The sequence below is a fragment of the Homo sapiens genome, chromosome 4, assembly GCF_000001405.40.
Source record: "Homo sapiens chromosome 4, GRCh38.p14 Primary Assembly".
Lineage (NCBI taxonomy): Eukaryota > Metazoa > Chordata > Mammalia > Primates > Hominidae > Homo > Homo sapiens.
Genome location: NC_000004.12, coordinates 25215874 through 25239369, shown reverse-complemented (window position 1 = coordinate 25239369; position 23496 = coordinate 25215874). Strand labels below are relative to the sequence as shown.

Below are 23496 nucleotides of genomic sequence, written 5' to 3'. Positions count from 1 at the left end.
CTACAGCCGGCCATGCCTGAGCCTCCCCCTGCTGCTGTGGGATCCTGCACAGCCCGAGCCTCCCCAACAAGCGCCACCCCCTGCTCCATGGTGCCCCGTCCCATCGACCACCCAAGGGCTGAGGAGTGTGGGCGCAAGGCACGGGACTGGCAGGCAGCTCCACCTGTGGCCCCAGTGTGGGATCCACTGGGTGAAGCCAGCTGGACTCCTGAGTCTAGTGGGGACTTAGAGAACCTTTATGTCTAGCTAAGGGATTGTAAATACACCAATCAGCACTCTGTATCTAGCTCAAGGTTTGTAAATGCACCAATCAGTGCTCTGTATCTAGCTAATCTAGTGGGGACTTGGAGAACTTTTGTGTCTAGCTCAGGGATTGTAAACGCACCAATCAGCACCCTGTCAAAATGGACCAATCAGCTCTCTGTAAAACAGACCAATCAGTGCTCTGTAAAATGGACCAATCAGCAGGATGTGGGTGGGGCCAGATAAGGGAATAAAAGCAGGCTGCCCGAACCAGCAGTGGCAACCTGCTCAGGTCCCCTTCCACACTGTGGAAGCTTTGTTCTTTCGCTCTTTGCAATAAATCTTGCTGCTGCTCACTCTTTGGGTCCACACTGCCTTTATGAGCTGTAACACTCACCGCAAAGGTCTGCAGCTTCACTCCTGAAGCCAGCGAGACCAGGAACCCACCAGGAGGAATGAACAACTCCAGACGCGCCAGCTTAAGAGCCATAACTCTCACCGTGAAGGTCGCAGCTTCACTCCTGAGCCAGCGAGACCACGAACCCACCAGAAGGAAGAAACTCCGAACACATCCGAACATCAGAAGGAACAAACTCCGAACACACCGCCTTTAAGAACTGTAACACTAACCGCGAGGGTCCATGGCTTCATTCTTGAAGTCAGTGAGACCAAGAACCCACCAATTCCGGACACAATAGCACCAGTAGTTAAAACCATTTCTGCTGAAATGGACTTTAGGGAAGTTATAAGAACTACCTTTATGAAATTAATCACTTTAATCACAGATATTGTTCAGCATACAGCATTCACCAAGAGACTGTGACAGGCTACCCTTTGTCTGTTCTGTTTTGGTTCAAATAACCAGTTTATTTTAACTGTATAGACCACATGATTGTGTTTCTCTCAAGTTAGCTGCTCAGTAATTTCAAAAATCAAATCTGTGGGTTGCCTGCATCAAGCATCTGAGGTACATCTTGTGTAATCTTACTCCAGGCTCCATCTTCTCATCTTTCTTCCTTTTAAATGATTTTCTTATTCTGTTCACATATTTATAAACCACCATGAATCATTAAATGACTTACAAATTCACATTTTCTTTTACTTTGGCAGCTCTTTGTGAATTCTAACACTGTTTTCTAACTGTTAGGCTCTCTAACAGGAGCTAAGCGCTCCTGATTTGTATTAACTGGGACCTTGGAGAAGTCACTTCACTTCTTTGTGCTTTTTCTTTTTTTCTTTTGAGACAGGGTCTTTTTCTGTAACCCAGGCTGGAGTATAGTGGTGCAATTATAGCTCACTGGACTCAGTGTAACCTGAAACTCATGGACTCAAGCAATCCTCCTGCCTCGGTCTCCTGAGTAGCTTGGACTACAGGTGTGCACCAAAGAGGCCTCCCAAAGTGTTAGGATTACAGGCGTAAGCCACCATGCCCAGCCTCTCCCTATACTTTCTTAAAATGAGAACAAGGCCAGGCATGGTGGCCTTGTAATCTCAGTGCTCTGGGAAGCCGAGGCGGGAGGATCATCTGAGGTCAGGAGTTCGAGACCAGCCTGACCAACATGGTGAAACCCCGTTTCTACTAAAAATACAAAATTAGCCAGGCATGTGCCTGTAATCCCAGCTACTTGGGAGGGTGAGGCAGGAGAATCGCTTGAACCTGGGGAGTGGAGGTTGCAGTTAGCCGAGATTACGCCATTACAATCCAGCCTGGGTGACAGGAATGAAACTCTGTTCCCCCACTGCCACCCCTACAGCCACCCACTGCCAAAAACAAAAAAAAAAAACAAAAATAGTACTCACATCACAGGGTTGGTTATGAATTAATATATATGAAGCATACAGAACTATGCCTAGCGCATATTAACTGCTATGTAGGCATTAGCTGTCATTACTACCGAATTCACTGATTAAAATAACTAGAACAAGGAATGCACTAATCCTTCCACTTTGACACTGATCCAACAACACTATGGTTTATGCTGTTTGTAGGCTTTGTTAAATGCCTTGTTGAAGATAACAGACATATGACATTCTTCCACTGGCTAAAGTACATAAACCTCTTGCTTATATAAGTAAGAGTTAAGCATCATAAATGATGTTCATATTAATCTAAAGGCAAGAATTTCTTGGAACTAGTGAGGTAGTTTCATGGAAATCGGATGGTAAAGGACAAATGAAGTTAATGGAGTCATTTAAAAAATAACTAAACTTAAAAAGTATTAAATTACTCAATCATGAACATTTTAGTCTTTAAAAATTTTTTAAACAGTTTTCACAGAAACTATTTTAAAGTCCTATTAAAGGTAAAAACCTCCAAAATAACCACAGACACAATTATTTTATAACACTTGTGGACCCATGGCAAAACGGAAAAGGGGCAGAAGATGAAGAAAGAACCAGGCTTCCTCCTGATTTATTACTTCCTGGATATTTGACTTCGGGCAAACCATTTACCTCTGAAGACCTGAGCTACCAGTCATTACCAGTTTATTAATTCTGAATCCTCATAATGAGAATAATGGCGAATAACAACTAACTTGCTGTGCTGTTGTGAAAATAATTAATTTTTTTTTTGAGACAAAGTCTCACTCTGTCACCCAGGCTGGAGTGCAGTGGAGCCATCTCTGCTCACTGCAACCTACACCTCTCGGGTTCAGAAGCGATTCTCCTGCCTCAGCCTCCCAAGTAGCTGGAATTGCAGGCGCCCGCCACCATGCCTGGCTAATTTTTCTATTTTTAGTAGAGGCAGGGTTTCACCATGTTGGCCAGGCTGGTCTGAAAACTCCTGACCTCAAATGATCCACCCACCTAGGCCTTCCAAAATGCTGGGATTACAGGCATGAGCCATGGCACCCAACAGAGAATAAAATTTATTTATTTATTTATTTATTTATTTATTTATTTATTTATTTATTTATTTTTGAGACAGAGTCTTGCTCTGTCTCAAGACAGAACCAGGCTGGAGTGCAGTGGAGAATAAAATATTTTTTTAAAAAAGATCTTAGCAAATTGTAAACTGTGATACAGGTAAGATATTACCTTTAAAAAAGGTAGGAATTCTAAGAATCCATTTGTATTCTAACACTATACTCTATCCTCACTTTGAATTTTTGTTGTTGTTGTTGTTTATTTTTTATAGAGATGGGGATCTCGCTATGTTGCCCAGGTGGGTCTCGAACTTCCAGCCTCAAGCTATTCTCCTGCCTAGACCTCCCAAAATGCTGGGATGGGATTACAGGCCTGCCATCTCGTTGACCTCTCGCTTTGATTTTTTTCTAGCCTTAATACTGTTTGTTTATAAAACACCTCACTTTCACAGAACAAGTGCATTTTGAAGGCTTTAGGCTCTTTTAAAAACCCAGGTACACAAGGTAGCTTACACAAGGTAAGGGACAGAAAAAGGCAAGCTAGCTATTTTACAGACTAAATTCTAAGTAACATATACCCAAATTGCCAATGTAGCTAGGCAAATGCAGACCCGTTTGTGATCTGGTTTCAGCTTCACGTTGTTTGGTTAAACGTCAATGCATCCATCAGGTAACATTATAACGGGAGCAGACGTTGGTTAAAGCTTAAACAATCAGACAAACTGCTCCCCTTGGGATTCTCTGATTTATTTACTCTAGAATATGCCTGAATGTAGCCTCTAGCTAGAACTTGAGTGACCGATTCTATCCAAAATTCTTTAAACTGTAAAGGACACATTAGTGTACCACTAACAGTACATTTAAAATCTAACAATTCCAAAAAAAACTAAGCAGTGTTAAAGAAACTTCCATTTTCTGTGGTTTTTAAGTTGTCATGTGTGAAGCGATAAACCAACCGGGTGCACAACATCTCATTTAATCCATCCTCACAACCAGCAGGGAGGTGTACCATCGCCTTTTTACAAACAAGTCTGTCTCACCTCTAGCTGAGAGTCTTACAAGTCTCTTGCTATTTCCATCACATTTGTCTAACTCCATTCAACACGCCAGAAAAACTCACTTTATTAATAAATATCCAGGCCTGCACAGCATACCTAAATTTAACCTTCAACATCATTTCAACTGCCCTGTTTCGCCTGAGGTTATCAGTCCGCTTAATAGCGAAAAGAGGTTTTTCGTTTTGGTTTTCTTATGTATTAGAAGTAAATCAAGAAAGAGAAACTAAACTGTAAGAGGGCAGGAACAGACTTTCAACTGCTTTTGCCCCCTGTGGCTAACTTCATAATAACAACATTTAATAGAAAAAGGTTTTGAAACGTGCCCCAGTGGCAACTGGATATTCTGGCTGTCCATCTCTCTCCTGTCATCCACTTTGCAAATTCACCACTCCGGGAACTTTCCTGAGAGTTCAAGGTTCTTAATTCAAAAGTCAAGTCCAAACTTGAGCAAGGACTTACGTCATTTTACAGCGTTAACCTCTCCCCAGTGTCGGTTTCTAGAAGTTTTGACTCACTTTGCGGGGAGGTCTAAAGAATCGGTTTAATGACAACCACTGGCCTTAGGAGAGGGAGCTCCCGGAGAAAGAGCGAGCAAGCTAGGTGCCCGCGGTGCGGCTGCGGCTGGCGCCGGTCCGAGCTCGGGAGCTGCTGCCCAGCGAGCGGGGAAAGCCCGTCCACCTCGGCCAGCGCGCGCGGGAGACAGGACCGAGCCGGGCGACAGGGGCAGCCGCCCGGAGGGGCGCGGGGAGTGGGGCAGGGCCGGGTCGCACCTGAAACCGCGGGGCGGCTCCGGTCCAGCTCGGCGGACGAACTCCGGGAGACCCCCACGTCCCCGGGCGGGAGGGGCAGCTCCTCGTCGCCGGCCTCGCCCTCCTCCCCGGCAGCGTCCAGCAGCCTCACGGCGCTGCCTGGGGCGCCTCTCCGCGGGTGGGCCCAGGCGATCCGCGGTAGCAGCGGCTCCCGCTCCCCATCCTCCTCCTCCTCCGGGCTCCCGCCGTCCGCGGACGCCAACCGGTCGGGCTCGGAGGGATCCTCCATGGACTCCCTCTGCTCCCTCCGCGCTGAGACCAGATCAGAGCAGCCAGGTGCCAGAGACTGGGCTCTGCATGGCGCGGAACGGGAGCGACCGGGTAGAACGGACGCCACCTCACCAGCGCACGGGCACGCTTGGCGCCCGCCCAGCGGTTGTCCCGCCTCGCCGCCGGCCGCGCCCCACCTCGCGCCTCCGCCAGGCACCACCCCCGCGCCTGCGCAGAAGGGTCGTGGCGGCGGCGGCGGCGGCAGCGGGGCACGTGGGAGTGAACAGGGGGCGGGGCTTTTGAGGGGTCAGGTGGGGTGGGGCCGCCACCTGCTTCCGTGAGCGCGGGGAGAAGCTGGGCACAGCTCGCTTTACTCCCAGTGGAGGGCGGGAAGGTGAGTAATTTTCAAAGAGGTGCCCTCCTGCAACCAAAAGCGGCTTCTCCCTGACAGAATTCTCTCTCAGAGTTTACCATAATCTGTAACTATAGATTTAATTGTATGACATTTCTTTCCTCCAGTAGACGTCCAGGAGGGCAGGGACCTTGTCTTTGTTCAGATATTCTTGATAGTGGCAGTTTGTATGTTTTCTTTTTCTGACTAATCTAGCTAGAAGTTTATCAATTTTTAAATCTTTTCAAAATGTCATGTTTTGGTTCCATTGATTTTCTGTTTTCTGGTCCATTGCCTTATTTTGCTCTTTATTGCTCACTTGAGTTTTGATTTCCTCTTCTTTTTCTAGTTGCTTAGAGTAGAAGATGATTGATTCTGGATCTTTCTGCTTTTCCAATGCTAGTATTTTAAGGCTATAAATTGCCCTCTAAGCACTGCTTTAGCTGAATTCTCCTTTTTTTTTTTCTTGGTGGTTGTTATTTTTGAGACAGGGTCTCACTTTGTTATCCAGGCTGGAGTGCAGTGACACAATCATAGCTCACTGCAGTCTCAACCTCCTAAGCTCAAGGGATCTTCTCAGCTTTAAACTGTAGAAGACACAGTAGCTGGAACTGCAGGTGTGCACGACCACATCCTGTTAATTTTTAAATTTAAATTTTTTGTAGAGATGGGATCTCACTGTTGCCCAGATTGGTCTTGAGCTCCTGGTCTCAAGCAGTCGTCCTGCTTCAGCATCCCAAAATTCTGGGATTACAAGCATAAGCCACCTTGCCTGGCCTGCTACTGTGCTTTTGTTTTCCTTCAGCTGAAAATAGTTTTTAATTTCCTTTATGATTTCCTCTTTGACCCTGTAAAGGAAAATAAAAATCTCAGAACCACCCCCCACCCCCAACTTGTTATGTCAAAGGGAGAGTTAAGCCTGGAGACTGAAGTCACTCAACACTACAATGCTTTTCCCAAATGGATAGCTGTTACTTCCCATAGTTGTATTAAAACTTTATATGTTAGCCAGACCCTCCTCAAAATGCAAAAAAAAGCCTTATGCATCTCAGTCTCAGGATGACTGTCCTCAACAAATTAATCATAGTAAATTCTTTACTGGCCCTTAAACCTTTCAAGATGTATATCCTTCCATAAAACAAGGACGTGTCAATTGTATAACTTTAAGTCTGCAACCTAAATCAAACTGGTACAACTAAAGTCTGTTAAATTTCACATGGATAAATTCAGTTACAAGCTTATCTTCCCAGATGCAGAACAAGGATAAGATCAATCATTCCTTCACCTGAGATATCTGTATAATTAACTTCCTTTACTCCATTTTCTTTGAATATTCACCTTATCTTATGCATAGCATAGAGTTACTGGGCACTACCTAAAGTCTAGCAAAAATGTAACCATTTGCTTCACCACCTACAACCCTCTTCCCTGATGCCTTCTCCGCTTTAAAGAAAGAATAGCTGTAATTACAGGTGCCTGCCACCATGCACGGCTAATTTTTGTATTTTTTAGTAGAGATAGGGTTTCACCACATTGGCCAGGCTGGTCTCGAACTCCTGACCTCAGATGATCCACCCGCCTCGGCCTCCCAAAGTGCTGGGATTACAGGTGTGAGGTACTGCACCTGGCCTGTAAATGCCTTTTAATTGGAGTTTGGGGTCCATTTACATTTAATGTAATAATGATGTGGTTGGATTTAGATCTATTATTTTGCAATTTGGGTTTTATTTGCTTTAACCTTTTCGGTTCCTCTGTTCCTCCTTTCCTGCCTTCGTTTGGATTAATTCAATAATTCTGATTATTTCATTTTCATTCCACCATTGACTTTCTGTTATACTTATTTTTTTTCTTTTTTTGAGATGGAGTTTCACTCTTGCTGCCCAGGTAGGAGTGCAGTGGTGCAATCTTGGCTCACTGCAACCTCTGTCTCCTGGGTTCAAGCTATTCTCCTGCCTCAGCCTTCTGAGTAACTGGGACTACAGGCACATGCCACCATGCCCAGCTAATTTTTGTATTTTTAGTAGAGACGAGGTTTCACCATGTTGGCCAAGATGTTCTTGATCTCCTGACCTTGTGATCCACCCACCTGAGCCTCCCAAAGTGCTAGGATTACAGGCATGAGCCACCACGCCTGGCCTCTGTTATACTTCTTTACATTAATTTTTAGTGCTTACACTAGGGTTTTCAATACTCATCCTTAAATTATCTCAGTGTACTAAGAGCCAATATTGTACTATTTGACATAAGAGGTAAGAACTTAGTGTCATTCCATTTATGCCCCATCGTTTATGTTATTGCTGTCATGTATACTAGACCTAAATATTTAAATACAGTGAATAATTTTTGCCTTAATTGCTTTTTTAGAGAAATTACCCACATAGTTACAACTTCCGGTGTTCTTCCTTCCTTTTTGTAGATCAGAGTTTCTATCTAGTATCATTTCCCTTTCCTCTGAAGAATTAAAAACAAATTTTATAATGCAGATTTGCTGATTAATATGGCTTGGCTGTGTCTCCACCAAATCTCATCTTCAATTCCCACGTGTTGTGGGAGGTGGGAGGTGGGAGGTGATTGAGTCATGGGGGCAGATCTTTCCAATACTGTTTTCATGATGGTAAGTGAGTCTCATGAGATCTGATGGTTTGAAAAACAGGAGTTTCCCTGCCCAAGCTCTCCTTGCCCGCTCCCATCCACGTTAGATGTGACTTTCTCCTCTTTGCCTTCCCCCATAATTGCAAGGCCTCCCCAGCCATGTGAAATTGTAAGTCCAGTAAACCTCTTTCTTTTGTAAATTGCCCAGTCTCAGGTATGTCCTCATCTGCAGCATGAAAACAGACTAATACACTGGTGATAAATTTAAGTTTTAATTTATTAGAAATTGTCTTTATTTTACCATCATTTTCAAATGCTATGTCCTCTGGATACAGACTTCTGGGTTGATATTGCTATCCTTACCCATCTAAGTTCAACTGTAAATATGTCATTCTATTGTCCTCTTGCCTTCATTGTTTTTGAATCATAACCCTTCACTTACACACCCGACTTGTGCTATGTCATTTTCTCTAGCTGCCTTTAAGATTTTCTCTGGTTCTTTGGTTCTTTGATTTTCAATAGTTTGACCATGATGTTTTTGGTATGATTTTCTTTACAAATATCTTGCTTAGGTTTTGCTTTACTTCTTGAATCTGTAGATTTATGTTTTCCACAAAATTTGGAGAAATGTCATTCTTTTTTTTTTTAGAAGCAGTTTATTACCTTAAAGCATTTAGCAAACCTAATGTCTGACCTAATTTCAACCAAATGTCTTTATTTTACCAATAATCTTCAAAACTCTTGATTTCCCAAAGCCTACTAAAGTCATGCTGTCACAGGCCATTAGACAGCATGAGCAGGGCAGGAAAGGGCTCTTCTCCCACCCACCAGGAATGTTGGGTGATGGCTCAGCAGTTATCACATTGCCTCTCTAAAAGTCATACATTGGCACCTAGGGTCAGGGAGACGCCATTTCCTGATGGTCCACACCTATTGCACTAAAGTGTTAATTGAATGCAGATGCCAGGGAGATGCAACTTCCCAGGCAAATGCATTAAGAGACAAAACGGCAGAGTATGACCTTTCCGTGGCACTCCATGGGAAAAGGGAAGAAAGCCTTGGGTGGGCATGTGTACAACTTCCTAAACACACTGCATGTGCTCACCTCCCAAGGATAGGGAGGGCACTGTGCATGCGGGCAGCTCACCCTAAGGAAAGAATCATGGGAAAAGAGCCAGCCTATAAAGTCCTAGGATCAAGGTTCAACACTGCACTTGACCTTCACGTGCCCACGTGCCTGCTTGAGTCTCTTCCAAGCATACTTTCATTTCTTTCCTGTTCTAAAGCCTTTTTAAATAAGCTTCCACTCCTGCTCTGAAACTTACCTTGGTCTCTTTTTCTGCCTTATGCCCCTCAGTGGAATTGTTTCTCCTGAGGAGGCAAGGATCGAGGTTGGTGCTGACTAGTGCAGATTCGCTGCTGGTAACTTGGATACCTTCCACCAGTAACAACATCAACTGAAAGGCATTACAGTTTTTATTTTTCTGACAAAATATTTGATTTAAGCACTTGTTATTTTTAAAACATTAATTAGAGCTCTTTCATATATAAACATTACACACATAACACACATATAACTACACAGACAGACAGAAGATCCAGTAGTTGTAGGATTTTTCATTTGCCAGTTTTTGTTTCTTAATTGGATTACTGGCTTCAAGGTGGAGCCCTTGGAGGAACAGGGCTAGGAAAACGTGCAGTTTCTAGGGCCTAATAAGCATACAGAGCTGGAAGGCAAAACAGATCCCCAAAACTTCAGGGTCCCTTTTTCATACTAGATCCTGAATCCCCAAAAAAGAAATGCTACGGAACAAGACAGAGCGTGATTTTACCATGCATTTCATTGCAAAGCAACCCAAAGACAGTTAGCCTGTTCTGTGATCTCAGTCATTATTTCTTCAAATATTTCTTTTCTGCTCTATTCTCTTTTCCTTCTGAGATTTCTATTACATGGATGTTAGACTCTTTGATATTGTTCCAAAGGGCAGTAGAACTCTACCTATGTTTTCATTTTTCTCAATAATTGTTCTCTCTGTTCTTCAGGTTTGGGATAATTTGTCTTTATCTGTTTTAAATTCATCAATCTTTTGACTATTTCCAAAAAGTTGTTAAGCCCACTCAGTTTGTTTTTAATTTCAGACCTGTACTTTTCAGTTCTACAATTTCTATTTAGTTCCTTTTTAGAGCTTCTACTTCTCTGCTGAAATTTTCCATCTGTAACTCATTATGACATATATTTTTAAAGTCCTTGAAAAAAATGTATATATATAACTTTTAAATGTCTCTGCTAATTCTTACATCTGGGTCCTCTTATAGTCAGTTTCTATTTACTGCTTTTTCTCTTGGTTATACGTCAAACTTTCCTGTTTCTTTGCAATATCTGTTAATTTTTTATTGTATACTGAATATTGTGGATAATATATTATAGAGCCTCTAAATTCTGTTATAGTCCTCTCACGAATGCTGATTGTTCTAGAAGGTAAATAACTTGGCTGGAGTCAAACTCCACCTGAAATTTCTGGTCATTTCTTTCAGCAATCCAACTGCTGCTTTTTGCTGAGCTGCTTGAAGCCTCGCCATGTATACACAGTTCAGGAGTCAACCAAGGATTTGGGCAGAGTATATATGCATGTTTTGGAGTTCTCTTCCTCTCTGACTTCTTTGTTTTCAAGACATCTGTCCTCCATTTTTAGCTGTTCTGAGAGTCCCAGAGTCCATTCCCTAACTTCTGAAGCCCTTAAGAAACTGTAGCTTTCTAATTGAGTTCCAGCTGCCTTGCACAGTGAATATTCAGAAGTGCTCTTAGGTGAAAAGGTGTATGAACATAAATCTTACTCATTATATTTCCATGTTTTGAAGAATAGCCATGACTTCCATTCCTATCTGCTTGCTTTTGGTTGCTTTTCAATGTCTTCAAATAATTGTTTTTTGTATTTTGTCCAAAGTTTATCATTTTTGTTATAAGATTAGTTCAATATAGTTTTCTATGGTGTGTTTGATTGGAAATGCATTTTTAGTGAAATGAATAATGCTATATTTTCTCAGTACGTCATCTGTTAGTAGAGAAATATTACTTATAGGTAAATGAGACAAGATTCATCATCAGCTCTATTTGTAGTTTTAGTTTTTACAAATGGAAACACTGAGAAAACCTATTCAAATTAATAGATGGATATGGGAAACATTTTGTAATAGCAATGTCACTCAAGTCTTAGACCTTTTTCCAAGATATATGCTAAAAAAAAAATCAATCACATAATACTCTAGCATCAAACACCTTATGATTTATTATCAGACTCCTTATTTAGGTCCTCCAACATTTGAATTATTCAGTTTCTCAATTTCTGGGGAGTACACCAAAAAGCATTTTAAAAGACTTACCAAATTGTTAATAATTATACTGCAACTCTTTCATTTCAAGCCACCTTTTAACTTGGAGTTGAGAACATAGAAATATTAACATTTCTATAGATCTTTTGCCAATAAAATATTTTTTGTTAAAATGGTTTTATCTTGAAATTTAAGTTTATTTTTGTCAAAGCCCTGGAACTGCTGATTTGGCTCATTCAATGTATGTAAAACATCTAACTTAAAAGTTAATCAGGGCTGGGCATGGTGACTCATGACTATAATCCCAGCTCTTTGGGAGGCCAAGGCCAGAGGATTGCTGGAAGCCGGAGTTTTAAAGACCAGCCTGAGCAACATAGTGAGACCCCAGCTCTACAAAAAAACCCAATATTTAAAAGTTAGCTGGGTATGGTGTCGTACACCTGTAGTCCTAGCTTATGGAGGGACTGAGGTGGGAGGCTTGAGCCCAGGAGTTAGAGGTTACAGTTAACTGTGATCATGCCAGTGCACTCCAGCCTGGGCAAGAGTGAGACCCTGTCTCTAGAAAAAAACAAAAAGTTAATTGGAAAAGCCAGGTTTCATTATCAAATCCATCAGCCAAAGAAGACTTTTTTCAATTCACATAAACATGCTAAAATGTATTATTGTATCGACATCTCGGTTTTAAATTCTAAGGCTCTACCACCTTCAGTATACCTTACTGATACTTTCTTCACTTGGTTCTTATGGGATACTCCGAAAGTACTGGGATTACAGGCAAAGGAATATTTCTTCAACCAGAAAAGAAAGAAAACACTGCTGCTACTTTAGGGAACCTTTGTTAAGGAGGCTTTGCCAACACCTATATTTCAAATACAGCCTTTGTTGGGAGCCTTGGCTTTGTTTACACTTTGGGGCAAAAAGCCATTGGAAGATTCAGAACAGGTGTTCTGATGCCAATTCATGCACTGCTATTCAATTCTGGCACTAACCACCCAGAGTTAGTACAGAACCCACAAGTTAAGCATTTAGTCCTCCACAAGTTTATCCTCATTTCAGATGCCAGCCATGCTTCTGGGGTCCCCTGGCCACCTCCCCTTATGAACAACTAGATACAAATTCAGGCGTCAAACCTGACCCCCTCAGATTTGACAATTTGGTAGAATGATTCATAGAATGCAGCAAAGATCTCAAGGTTCCTGCCTTCATGAAGATTTCGATGAGATGGGATTTACAGACCAATGAACAGGTGATTCCAATACAGTAAGATAAATGCTATGTAGAGGAAGTATGGGCTGCTAAGAGGGCATAGAAGAGGGACCAAGATTTGGGAGGATCGGGAAAGAGAGTTAATACAGACGAAACAAGGGTAGGGGAAGGACTTGACTGAAGTCAAACTCCACCTGAAATTTTGGATCATTTCTTTCAGAAATTCAGCTGTTGCTTTTTGCTGGTCAAATAAATGGTCAGGGTAGGCTTCAAGGGGCAGATGACATGTAAGTGGAGACTTAAAGGATGAGAAAGAGCAGTTTATACAAAAAAAAAAAAAAAAAAGAAGGAAGAGTGCTCCTGGCAGACGGGACCAAAGGCTCTGAAGAGTGCTCCCTGAAGCTCTCTGGTGACCACAGATGGAGGAGTGCCTGTGACCAGAGGGGGGAAGCATAAGCTTCAAGAGGTGGTCCAGGGCCTCACTGTGTTTTATTTCTCAACCTGAAATAATCCAGAGGATTAAAATCCAGTTTTGTTTTTGTTTTTGTTTTTTGAGATGAAGTCTCACTCTTGCCCAGGCTGGAGTGCGGTGGCACAATCTGGGCTCACTGCAACCTCCGCCTCCCAGGTTCAAGTGATTCTCTTGCCTCAGCCTCCCAAGCAGCTGGGATTACAGGCACGAGCCACCACGCCAGGCTAATTTTTGTATATTTAGTAGAGATGGGGTTTCACCATGTTGGCCAGGCTTGTCTTGAACTCCTGGCCTCAAGTGATCTGCCTGCCTTGGCCTCCTAAACTGCTGGGATTACAGGCATGAGCCACTGCACTCAGCCTAGAATCCAGTTTTGAAGAGGTTATTCAAATGCAAAGCTGAGAATAGTCATTCGAGTAACACACACTCCAAGAGATTGGGTCAGTGCTTTCAAGTTAAAAGTTAAGGTCTTGCTTACATAGGCAGGAAACAAAGACATTTAGTAGGATTATAATACTTTCTATAAAAGGCATGTTTATGACCTACAACAATTTCATTAGTTACAGTTTGTTTTCTTTTTCCTATGTCTTGTTTTCATTTCCTTTCCAATTTAAAAGAGAATATTTAATATTCTATCTGAAGACAACCTAATAGTCATGAAGTTTTTATGTGAGAGAAAAAATGGGAAGTTAATTTATAATGAAGATTAACAGTTGATATGATTTGGCTGTGTCCCCACCCAAATCCCATCTGAATTGTAGCTCCCACAATTCCCCTATGTCCTGGGAGGGACCCAGTGGGAGGTAATTGAATCATGGGGGCAAGTCTTTCCCATGCTGTTCTGTGATAATGAATAAGTCTCATGAGATCTGATGGTTTTATAAAGAGGAGTTCTCCTGCACAAGTTCTCCCTCTCTTTGCCTGCCACCATCCATGTAAGACATGACTTTGCTTCTCCTCGCCTTCTGCCATGATTGTGAGGCCTCCTCAGCCATATGAAACTGTGAGTCAATTAAACCTCTTTCCTTTCTAAATTATCCAGGCTCAGGTATGTCTTTATCAGCAGGGTCTTCCCTGGCACCCTTTAGTAATTTACATTTTACAACACAATGTAGGTGAGGAATAAGGCTAATCCACAATCAGAGAAACAAAAGTTATAGCTGCCTAGGTTATAAGTGCCTGTAATGTGACTCAGACCCCATAATCACATTCCTTTAAGGCTCAAAATAATTTAAGCCTCCAACAGTTTAAATTTTCTATTACTTGTTTTCACATCTTTAATACTGTTCTTGTGTCAAGATTTTCAGCCTTTTGGCTACAGATCCTGACCACCCCTCTATCCGCTAGCTAGAACCTATAGGGTGAAGAATGGCACAAAATGATGATGTTAGAGATCTTCGGGATTTACAGAGCTGGAATGTATGGGTCAACAGAGTTTGGATTTAACTGGAAATTCAGTGGGACTTTTTTTTTTTTTTTTTTGAAACAAGGTCTCACTTTGTTGCTCAATCTGGAGTGCAGTGGCACAATCAGAGTTTCTTGCCACCTTAAATTCTTGGGCTCAAGGGATCGTCCCACCTCAGCCTCCTTTGTAGTGAGGCAGGAAATTAAATAAACATAAAATTAAGAAGAGAAAAACAAGCTTTCTATATTAGGCTGACTCATCCCAAAGGCAGTAACAGGCAAAGACTGAACCCAGGCGAAGTCTTGATAACATTCTCAAAGAAGCCAGGGCTCAAAGGGATGTGCTCTGGAGACTCTCCCAGCACTCCCTCAACATAAGGATAAGAAAAAGTGAATTTCTCCCTCAAATCCCACCCCCTTCCGCGTGATTGTACCCTGCTTTGCAAGTGTTATGAGTTTACAGATTTCTGTTTTCTGTAGCTAGTAACTTCAAGTATTCTGTTTTATCTAAGCAGCACAGTGAAGGTTATAAGACACGCCTGAGCAGGCCTGGGCTGTGGCTGTCTGGGTGCCATAGCAAAGTTATGAGATAAACCAGTGCAAGGCTCTTTTGAGCAAGTCTGGATAACAGCCATCTGGGCTGCATAGCAACAGTCACCTGTCACAATTTGATTAACTGCCTTTGTTTTGCCTCTGTATCCTTGCTTTTGTGCCACTATGCTTTATACCACTGTAAGCTTGTTTCAAGCTAGCCCACCGCCTTTTAGAAGTGTGTAAAAAAGTCAAGTGCTGTCTTTGTTCTGGGCCCAGTTTTCGGATGTTAATCTGCTGGTTCTGAGTGCACTCAATAAATCCTCCTATCTCACCCCCACGGTCTCTCTAGTCCTCCTTCATTCCTGCAACAGTAGCTGGGACTCCTGGCATGTGCCACCATGCCGTGCTTTTTTTTTTCTTTTTTTTTTTTTTTTTTTGGTAGAGACTATGTCTCCGTATGTTGCCCAGGCTGGTCTCGAACTCCTGAGCTCAAACAATCTTTCTGTCTCAGCCTCCCAAAGTGGTGGGATTATAGGCATGAACCACCATGTCTGTCCAATTTTAACTTAATTTTAGATCCATATATGTTCATGTAAAATCCCTGGAGCCTAGGAATGTTATCTTATCTGGAAAAAGGATCTCTGCAGATGTTATTAGGTTTAGAATCTTGAGATGAGATCATCTTGGATTAACATGGTATGCCCTAGATCCAATGACAAGTGTCCTTATAAAAGAGAGGTAGAGGGGGATTTGAGACACATAGAAGAGGAGAAGACGCACACAGAGATGGATGTGAAGATGCAGTGCAGATTAGAGCGATATGGCCACAAGCCAAGGAAGCCAAAGAGAGCCAGCAGCCACAGGAAACTCATTACCATAGTCAAACACTTGAAGAGAGTCTTGACATAAGTACAGAAGTGGGGTATTAGGCTACATGGGGGAAGAACATTCCAAACACATGGTTGCCTTTAAATCCCTTGTATATTGGAATGGTGGAGGTTCTACTTCTGCATATATTTTTGCACTGCTTAATTTTTTTAACCAAAAAAAAAAAATCACATCAAAATTATTTATTTATTTATTTTTGAGATAGGGTCTCACTCTGTCACCTAGGTTGGAGTCCACTATCAATCAAAGCTCACTGCAATCTCAATTTCCCAGGCTCAAGAGAGCTTCTCGCCTCAGCCTCGCTAGTAGCTGGGACTACAGAAATGCACCATCATTCCTGGCTTATTTTTTATTTTTTAGAGATGGGATCTCACTATGTTGTCTAGGCTGGTCTCAAACTCTTGGGCTTAAGCAATCCTCCTGCCTTGGCCTCCCAAAGTGCAGGGATTACAGGTGTGAGCTACCATGTCCAGCCTAAAAATAATATTAGTAAAAGGTTTTTATAGCATTGGGGGAAAAAAAGAAATAATAACTACTTAACTATGCTGGAAGTCTTAATTATATGTGGTTGATATTTTTCCTGGGCTCAAGCTATCCTCCCACCTCAGCCTCCTGAGTAGCTGGGACTATTAATGTGCATCATCATATCTGACTAATTTTTTAAAAAAATTTTAAAAACTGTTTTAAAGAGATGGGGGTATTGCTATGTTGCCTAGGCCAGTCTCAAACTCCTGATCTCTAGCAATCTTCCTGCCTCAGCCTCCCACAGTGCTGGGATTACAAACATGCACCACTGTATCTGGACAGATGTGGTTGATTTTTTAAGGCTGTGATTCAACTTGTATACAATCAGTAAGCAGGGAGAGCAGAGAGAACACTAGCCTTTGAGTAAATCTGATAATACCTCCTTGGATGATGTCTTTATTTGCTTTGTTCAGCTAGCTGCAGTGGACTTTTGATCTTAGGAATCTACTGTTGCCTTGCACTTGAAGAAACTGTAGAGGTCCTCTGGATGAGCCTGCCAATCTTTATATCTGCCCTATTTTTAATATTTACATGTATGTGTTGTGATTTAAATACAGATACATTTAGAAAAATCTTAATACCTGGTTTTCTGTCATTTCCAGAATTTATTTTACACTAATACTGGATCTTGCTTTAAGCAGTATCCTTAGGTGCAAATAAAATGCTTGTGAAACAAATGCTGCTTGAATGTAGCAATAATGAAGGCTACAGTTTCTGAGAGCTAGACTCTGTTCTGTGTGCTTTAAGTTTACTAGCATGTACACCCTCACAACAACCCATTTAGACAGGGGTACCTATTTTCCCCTTGATATGATTTAGCTGTGTCCCCACCCAAATCTAATCTTGAATTGTGGTTCCCATAATCCCCATGTGTCATGGGAGGGATCTGGTGGGAGGTAATTTAATCAAGGGGGCAGTTACCCTCATGCTGTTCTTGTGATAGTGAGTGAGTTCTCATGAGATCTGATGGTTTTATAAGGGGCTTTTCCCCCTTTGCTCAGCACTTCTCCTTGCTGCCACCCTGTGAAGAAGGACATGTTTGCTTCCCCTTCCACCATGATTGTAAGTTTCCTGAGGCCTCCCCAGCTATGCTGAACTGTGAGTCAATTAAACCTCTTTCCTTTATAAATTTCCCAGTCTTGGGTATGTCTTTATTAGCAGTGGGAGAATGGACTAATACACCCCTCTTTACAAAGAGAGAAACTAAAGCACATAAAAGTTAAGTAATTTGTCCCCGATCAATCTGATATAAGAGGCAAAGGTAATGTTGCAACACAGATGGTCTGGCTCCATTCTCTTAGCCATTCTAATAGGCAGCTACCCTTCACTTAGGAAACTAGTGGAAGGTTGTTTTTCAATCACAACTCTGATCACTGTCAGTAACTTCTAATGTTATTCCATTGCTCACAAAAAAAAACCCAAAAATCTAAAAATTTACAGTCTAGACTCTAATCTCTAATTTAACCCTATGTTTCACTTATTTCCAACTAAGGCCACCCTAAATGCCCTATTTCCAGAACAAGTTATTTCAGGCCCCTGTGTCTTTGTTCTTGCTCTCAGGATACCTTACCTTCTTCTCCACTTGACTAACATCTACCTAGCCTTTAAATCCTAGTTTAATGTCAATTTCTTTGGAATGCAGTCCCCAGTTTCCTAAGCAGATCTTGTCTCTGTGCTGTGTGCTCTGCAAACTCTTGTTCTGACCTTTAATTGAACACTCTCCCACTGAAGTTTAGTTATCTCCCTATCAGAAGGTGTCTTGAAACTGTGATCCCCTTGTAAAGAGGAATCTGATGTTCTCCTCTCTGTATTTCTCTCTCATTCCCTTCAGTCCCTAAGGGAGTAACCAGAACATATTGTGTGTTTGACAAAAGTTTTGTAACTAAATGAATGAGCAAATGAATAATGAGTAAAATTGTACTTAAAGGAGTTCTGTAAATAAATTTTATTGTGAAAGCCATCCACCTCCAACTTTTCTTTGGTAATGTTGACATTTGCTGGCCAAATATCACCAAGACAAGTTGTGTTGGAAGTGCCCAAGACAACCACAAGGTTGTTCACTAGAAGGACTCACAGGGCTCAGATATAGTCATATTCACATCTATGACTTACTATGGTGAAAGAATACAAAGAAAAGCAGCAAAGGGAAAAGGCACATGAAGCTAAGTCCAGGGAAACCAGGAGTCTTCTCCCATTTGAGTCACACAGGACACTCTTAGTTCCCCACCTACAATTTGTAACAACACATGTGAAATGTTGTCTACCAAGGATGTTCATCACGGACTCAGTACCCAGGGTTTTTATTGCGGATGGTAACGTAGACACACTTTACCTAGCAGGTACCAAAATTCCAGGCCTCCAGAAGCAAGGCAAGTGTTTAGCATAAACCATAAGGTCTGCACAGTTTAGGCACAGTTTGCCATTTTTATCAGGAACGGTGGGAACCCTCCTAAAATCCAAGTTCACAACTCCAGCCAAGGACAACCCTTCCAAGCTGGTCTTTCTAAGGATAGCAGTCTCAGGTCTGCTGTGTTAACTTTTCTTTGCAACACAACATATCAATAAGACCAAGCTGAGTTATTGCTTACCATGGTAAGGAAGACCACCATCTTGTTAAAACTTGGCAGCATCCCAGAGAAGAAAGGGCAAAATCAGAATTCATTGATATTGGGAGTTTTGTTCAGGTAGGTCTTTCAATGTGAGGCCTAGATTAGGATTGAATCAGGATTGGTGGAAACAGCAAGGCAAGGATTTTTGAGACAAGGGATTCAAAGAATTTTAGCACTCAAACTATCTTCATTTTTTTCTTTTCTTTTCTTTTGTTTTAGAGACAGGGTCTCACTATGTTGCCCAGACTGATCTTGAACTCCTGGGCTCAATAAATCCTCCTGCTGTGGCCTCCCAAAGTGCTGAGTTTACAGGCATGAGCCACTGTGCCTGGCCTTCTGATGCTTTTTATTGAAGAGTTGGTAGGTCTTTCAGAAAGTTTCTGTAATGAACATTAAGTGATTTGACTAGAAAAGAGTCTACTAGAATAGTAAAGTTATACCAGTGAAGACAATGAAATAGTAAAGTTAAGTTCATGCAATTAGACATGGGAAACTAGGTAGGTTCTTTTTTCAGCAAATATACATTTTTAAAAAAATCAAACATCTTAATCAGAAAGTACAGTTGACCTTTGAAGAACATGGGTTTGAAATGCGTGAGTTCACTTACATGTGGATTTTTTTCTACCTCTGCCACACGGAGACAGCAAGATCAACCCCTCCTGTTTCTCCTCCTTCTCAGCCAACTCAGTGTGAAGACAAGGAGGATGAAGGTTTTTATGATGATCCACTTACACTTAAGAGATTAGTAAATATATTTTATCTTCCTTATGATTCTTCTAAATAACACTTTCTTTTCTCTAGCTTACTGCATTGTAAGAATACAGTAATATATATAGTATTGAATATACTGAATACAGTAATACATATAAAATACATATACATATAGTATATGATACATAACATACCAAATATTTTCTAATTGACTGTTATCGGTAAGGCTTCTGGTCAACAGTAGGCTGTTAGTTATTTGAGTTTTTGGAGAGTCAAAAATTATACTCAGATTTGCGGCTGTGAGGAAGGCTGGCACCCTTAAACCCCACTTTGTTCAAGGGTCAACTATACATACTTTGCTAGTGAAAGCTGAAGTTAATTTATACCTGAAGTTTCTTTTCTTTTCTTTTCTTTTTTTTGGAGATGGAGTTTCAGTCTTGTTGTCCAGGCTGGAGTGCAATAGCACAATTTTGGCTCACTGCAACTTCCACCTCCCAGGTTCAAGCGATTCTCCTGCCTCAGCCTCCCGAGTAGCTGGGATTACAGGCACCTGCCACTACGCCTAGTTAATTTATACCTGAAGTTTCTAAGAAAAAGGAATACCAGTCAACTCAATGTACTCCCTGGTCATGGGGAAATAAGATTGTTTTCTTCCAGATATTTGATCTCCAATCTACCATCATTATAATCTGGGAATGACCTTCAAGAACAAGGTGAATGTGTTCTTCTGATATGAAAAATGATTTGCAGGAAGAAGCGAAATTACGAACAACAGCACCAAGCATTTACAGAGACCCTACAACACAACAAACACACACTTTACTTATATTGCCTCCATCTTTACCCTCATCTTTCTCAGATGAGGAAGCTGAGATTCAGAGGAGCTAAATAACTCATTCATCTTCCCATAGCTAGTAAACAGAAGAATTGGGATTTGAACCCAGGTGTCTTTAACTCCAGAGCCCATGATTACTTTTCTTTTACATAGTTATATCCCATCAACTCAGAGCACTTTGATTTTCATACATACCCACAGGTGCTGCATTGCTTGGACGATATTCAAAGTGATATGAGTTTTCTCCACCTTCCATTTGTCCTCTGCACAAAAAATTCACCTGTCCTCTGTTTGATTGGCTTATTAATCTATCATACTGTGAGAAAGGTTACCAAAATGCTAAAGCAGAGGATTTTCTTTCCACTGGACTAAACATGTATCTACCACCTATTGTGTATCAGGGACTTTGCCAGGCAAAATCCTGGTCTGTGATGAGAACAGGTTCATGGGATGCGAGGCTATGGTGGTGATTAAAAATGTATGTACTTAATTATAATGCATTGGTATTATACAGCTTGTGCTGTTTTATATTATTTTTAAGAAAGTTTTTAAATTTTATAACTATATAATTATATAATTCAATTTTTGTTTGTTTTTCATTTTAACAGAAAACTAAAATATCCAAGGCTAATTTAATTTCATATGCTGGACAAATTCAGGAACTAGAGTGCAGGAACTGAGGTTTAACAAGTTATATAGGCTGGACACAGTGGCTCACGCCTGTAATTCCAGCACTTTGAGAGGCTGAGGTGGGAGATCACTTGAGCTGAGGAGTTTGAGACCAGCCTGGGCAACAGGGTGAAACCCTGTATCTACAAAGAAAAAAAAAAATTAGCTGGATGCACTGGTGCATACCTGTAGTCCCAGCTACTCGAGGGGCTGAGATGGGAGGATGGCTTGAGTCCAGGGAGGTTGAGGCTGCAGTGAGCTGTGATTGTACCACCGCACTCCAGCCTAGGCAACAGAGTGAGATCCTGTCTCAGAAACAATGTGTACCACTCTGCGGCTGGGCTTGTATGAGAGGAGAGAGTGGGTGATGGCAGTTGCTGAAAAAAAAGAAAAATAAGCCAAATCCCTAAACCTGTGGCAGAGAGAAAGAATGGAGTGAACACATCTGGGCCTGCAGAGAGGCCTGTGGCTCAACCCTTGAAACCTATATTAGTTTCCTAGGGCTGCCATAAAAATTACCACAAACTGAGTGGCTTAAAGCATCAGAAATTTATGCCCTCACAGTTGGAAATCAAGGTGTTGGCAGGACCATGCTCCCTCTGAAGGCTCTGGGGGAAAATCCTTCCTCGCTTGATGTGGTTTGCTCTGTGTCCCCACCCAAATCTCATCTTGAATTGTAATCCCCACATGTAGAGGGAGGGATCTGGTGGGAGGTGAAAGGATCATGGGGGCATTTTCTTCCATGCTGTTCTCATGACAGTGAGTGAGATCTGATGGTTTAAAGTGTTTTACAGTTCCCCCACTCTCTCTCTCCTTCTGCCTGTGAAAAACGTGCTTGCTTCCCCTTTACCTTCCACCATGATTGTAAGTTTCCTGAGGCCTCCCCAGCCATGCAGAATTGTGAATCAATTAAACCTCTTTTCTTGGCCAGGCATGGTGACTCACACCTATAATCCCAGCACTTTGGGAGGCCGAGGTGGGCAGATCACTTGAGGTCAGGAGTTCAAGATCAGTCAGGCCAACATGGTGAAACTGTCTCTACTAAAAATACAAAAAAAAAAATTAGCTGGGCATGGTGATGGGTGCCTGTAACTCCAGCTACTTGGGAGGCTGAGGCGAGAGAATCACTTGAACCTGGAAGATGGAGGTTGCAGTGAGCAAAGATTGCGCCACTGCACTCCAGCCTGGGCAACAGAGCAAGACTCCATCTCCAAAAAAAAAAATCCTCCTTTCTTTATAAATTACACAGTCTCAGGGTGTATCTTTACAGGAGTGTGAGAACAAACTAATACAGAAAATTGGCACCAGGATAGTGGGGTACTGCTATAAAGATAATCTAAAAATGTGGAAGCAACTTTGGAACTGGGTAACCAGCAGAGATTAGAACAGTTTGGAGGACTCAGAAGAAGACAGGAAGATGAGGGATGAGGGAATATTTGGAACTTTCTAGAGATTTGTTGAATGGTTTTGACCAAAATGCTGACAGTGATATGGACAGTGAAGTCCAGGCTGAGGTGGTCTCAGATGGAGATAAAAAACTTGTTGGGAACTGAAGTAAAGGTCACTCTTGCTATGCTTTAGCAAAGAGACTGGTGGCATTTTGCCCTTGCACTAAAGATCTGTGGAAATTTGAACTTGAGAGAGATTATTTAGGGTATCTGGTGGAAGAAATTTCTAAAAAGCAAAAGAGTTCAAGAAGTAACCTGGCTTTTTCTAAAAGCATGCAGAAATGTCATATGTATTCACAAAGAGATGGTTTGAAATTGGAACTTATGTTTGAAAGGGAAGCAGAACATTAAGGTTTGGAAAATTTGCAGCCTGACCTTGTGGTAGGAAAGAAAAACCTATTTTTGGCTGGGTCTGGATGGATCACCTGAGGTCAGGAGTTCGAGACCAGCCTGACCAACACGGAGAAACCCCATCTCTATTAAAAATACAAAACTAGCTGGGCGTGATGGCACATGCCTGTAATCCCAGCTACTTGGGAGGCTGAGGCAGGAGAATCACTTGAATCTGGGAGGTGGAGGTTGCGTGAGCCAAGATCACACCATTGCACTCCAGCCTGGGCAACAAGAGTGAAACTCTCTATCTCCAAAAAAAAAAAAAAAAGAAAAAGAAAAACCCATTTTCTGGGGAAGAATTC

General features: G+C 41.8%; 1 protein-coding gene and 1 long non-coding RNA gene across 9 annotated transcripts in view, besides 7 other annotated features; one reads left to right on the top strand and one right to left on the bottom strand.

The window, feature by feature from the left end:
* PI4K2B (phosphatidylinositol 4-kinase type 2 beta) overlaps positions 1-5337 on the bottom strand; it is a 45172-nt gene extending 39835 nt beyond the window's left edge. For 4 of the 5 annotated variants that reach the window (NR_144633.2, XR_007057941.1, NM_018323.4 and 1 more), the window contains exon 1: positions 4939-5337. Coding sequence is in view for 2 of the 5 variants with exons in the window: in NM_018323.4 (NP_060793.2) it covers positions 4939-5206 (268 nt within the window). In the remaining 3 variants the exon portion in view is untranslated. Of the gene's footprint in view, positions 1-4627; positions 4807-4938 lie in introns of those variants that run through there. The other variant, XM_005248175.5, reaches the window with a different exon arrangement.
* Positions 4448-4577: an enhancer, noted in NCBI's record as "active region_21372". NCBI's record gives its function as "activates an Ori minimal core promoter by ATAC-STARR-seq in GM12878 lymphoblastoid cells {active_cell/tissue: GM12878}" and the evidence as "EXISTENCE:reporter gene assay evidence [ECO:0000049][PMID:35858748]".
* Positions 4448-5547: a biological region, named in NCBI's record as "H3K27ac hESC enhancers GRCh37_chr4:25235481-25235982 and GRCh37_chr4:25235983-25236482".
* Positions 4510-5009: an enhancer, noted in NCBI's record as "H3K27ac hESC enhancer chr4:25235983-25236482 (GRCh37/hg19 assembly coordinates)". NCBI's record gives its function as "activates a minimal SCP1, AML or CMV promoter by ChIP-STARR-seq in naive H9 embryonic stem cells {active_cell/tissue: H9 hESC(naive)}" and the evidence as "EXISTENCE:reporter gene assay evidence [ECO:0000049][PMID:30033119]".
* Positions 4798-4857: a silencer, noted in NCBI's record as "silent region_15322". NCBI's record gives its function as "represses an Ori minimal core promoter by ATAC-STARR-seq in GM12878 lymphoblastoid cells {active_cell/tissue: GM12878}" and the evidence as "EXISTENCE:reporter gene assay evidence [ECO:0000049][PMID:35858748]".
* Positions 4898-5137: a silencer, noted in NCBI's record as "silent region_15321". NCBI's record gives its function as "represses an Ori minimal core promoter by ATAC-STARR-seq in GM12878 lymphoblastoid cells {active_cell/tissue: GM12878}" and the evidence as "EXISTENCE:reporter gene assay evidence [ECO:0000049][PMID:35858748]".
* Positions 5010-5511: an enhancer, noted in NCBI's record as "H3K27ac hESC enhancer chr4:25235481-25235982 (GRCh37/hg19 assembly coordinates)". NCBI's record gives its function as "activates a minimal SCP1, AML or CMV promoter by ChIP-STARR-seq in naive H9 embryonic stem cells {active_cell/tissue: H9 hESC(naive)}" and the evidence as "EXISTENCE:reporter gene assay evidence [ECO:0000049][PMID:30033119]".
* Positions 5238-5547: a silencer, noted in NCBI's record as "silent region_15320". NCBI's record gives its function as "represses an Ori minimal core promoter by ATAC-STARR-seq in GM12878 lymphoblastoid cells {active_cell/tissue: GM12878}" and the evidence as "EXISTENCE:reporter gene assay evidence [ECO:0000049][PMID:35858748]".
* The window catches only part of LOC105374535 (uncharacterized), a 43715-nt gene continuing 25723 nt past the window's right edge, over positions 5505-23496 (top strand). For 2 of the 4 annotated variants that reach the window (XR_007058086.1, XR_925490.3), the window contains exon 1: positions 5505-5581. This is a non-coding gene — a long non-coding RNA (uncharacterized LOC105374535). The remainder of the gene's footprint in view (positions 5582-23496) is intronic. The other 2 variants (XR_001741626.2, XR_007058085.1) reach the window with 1 other exon arrangement.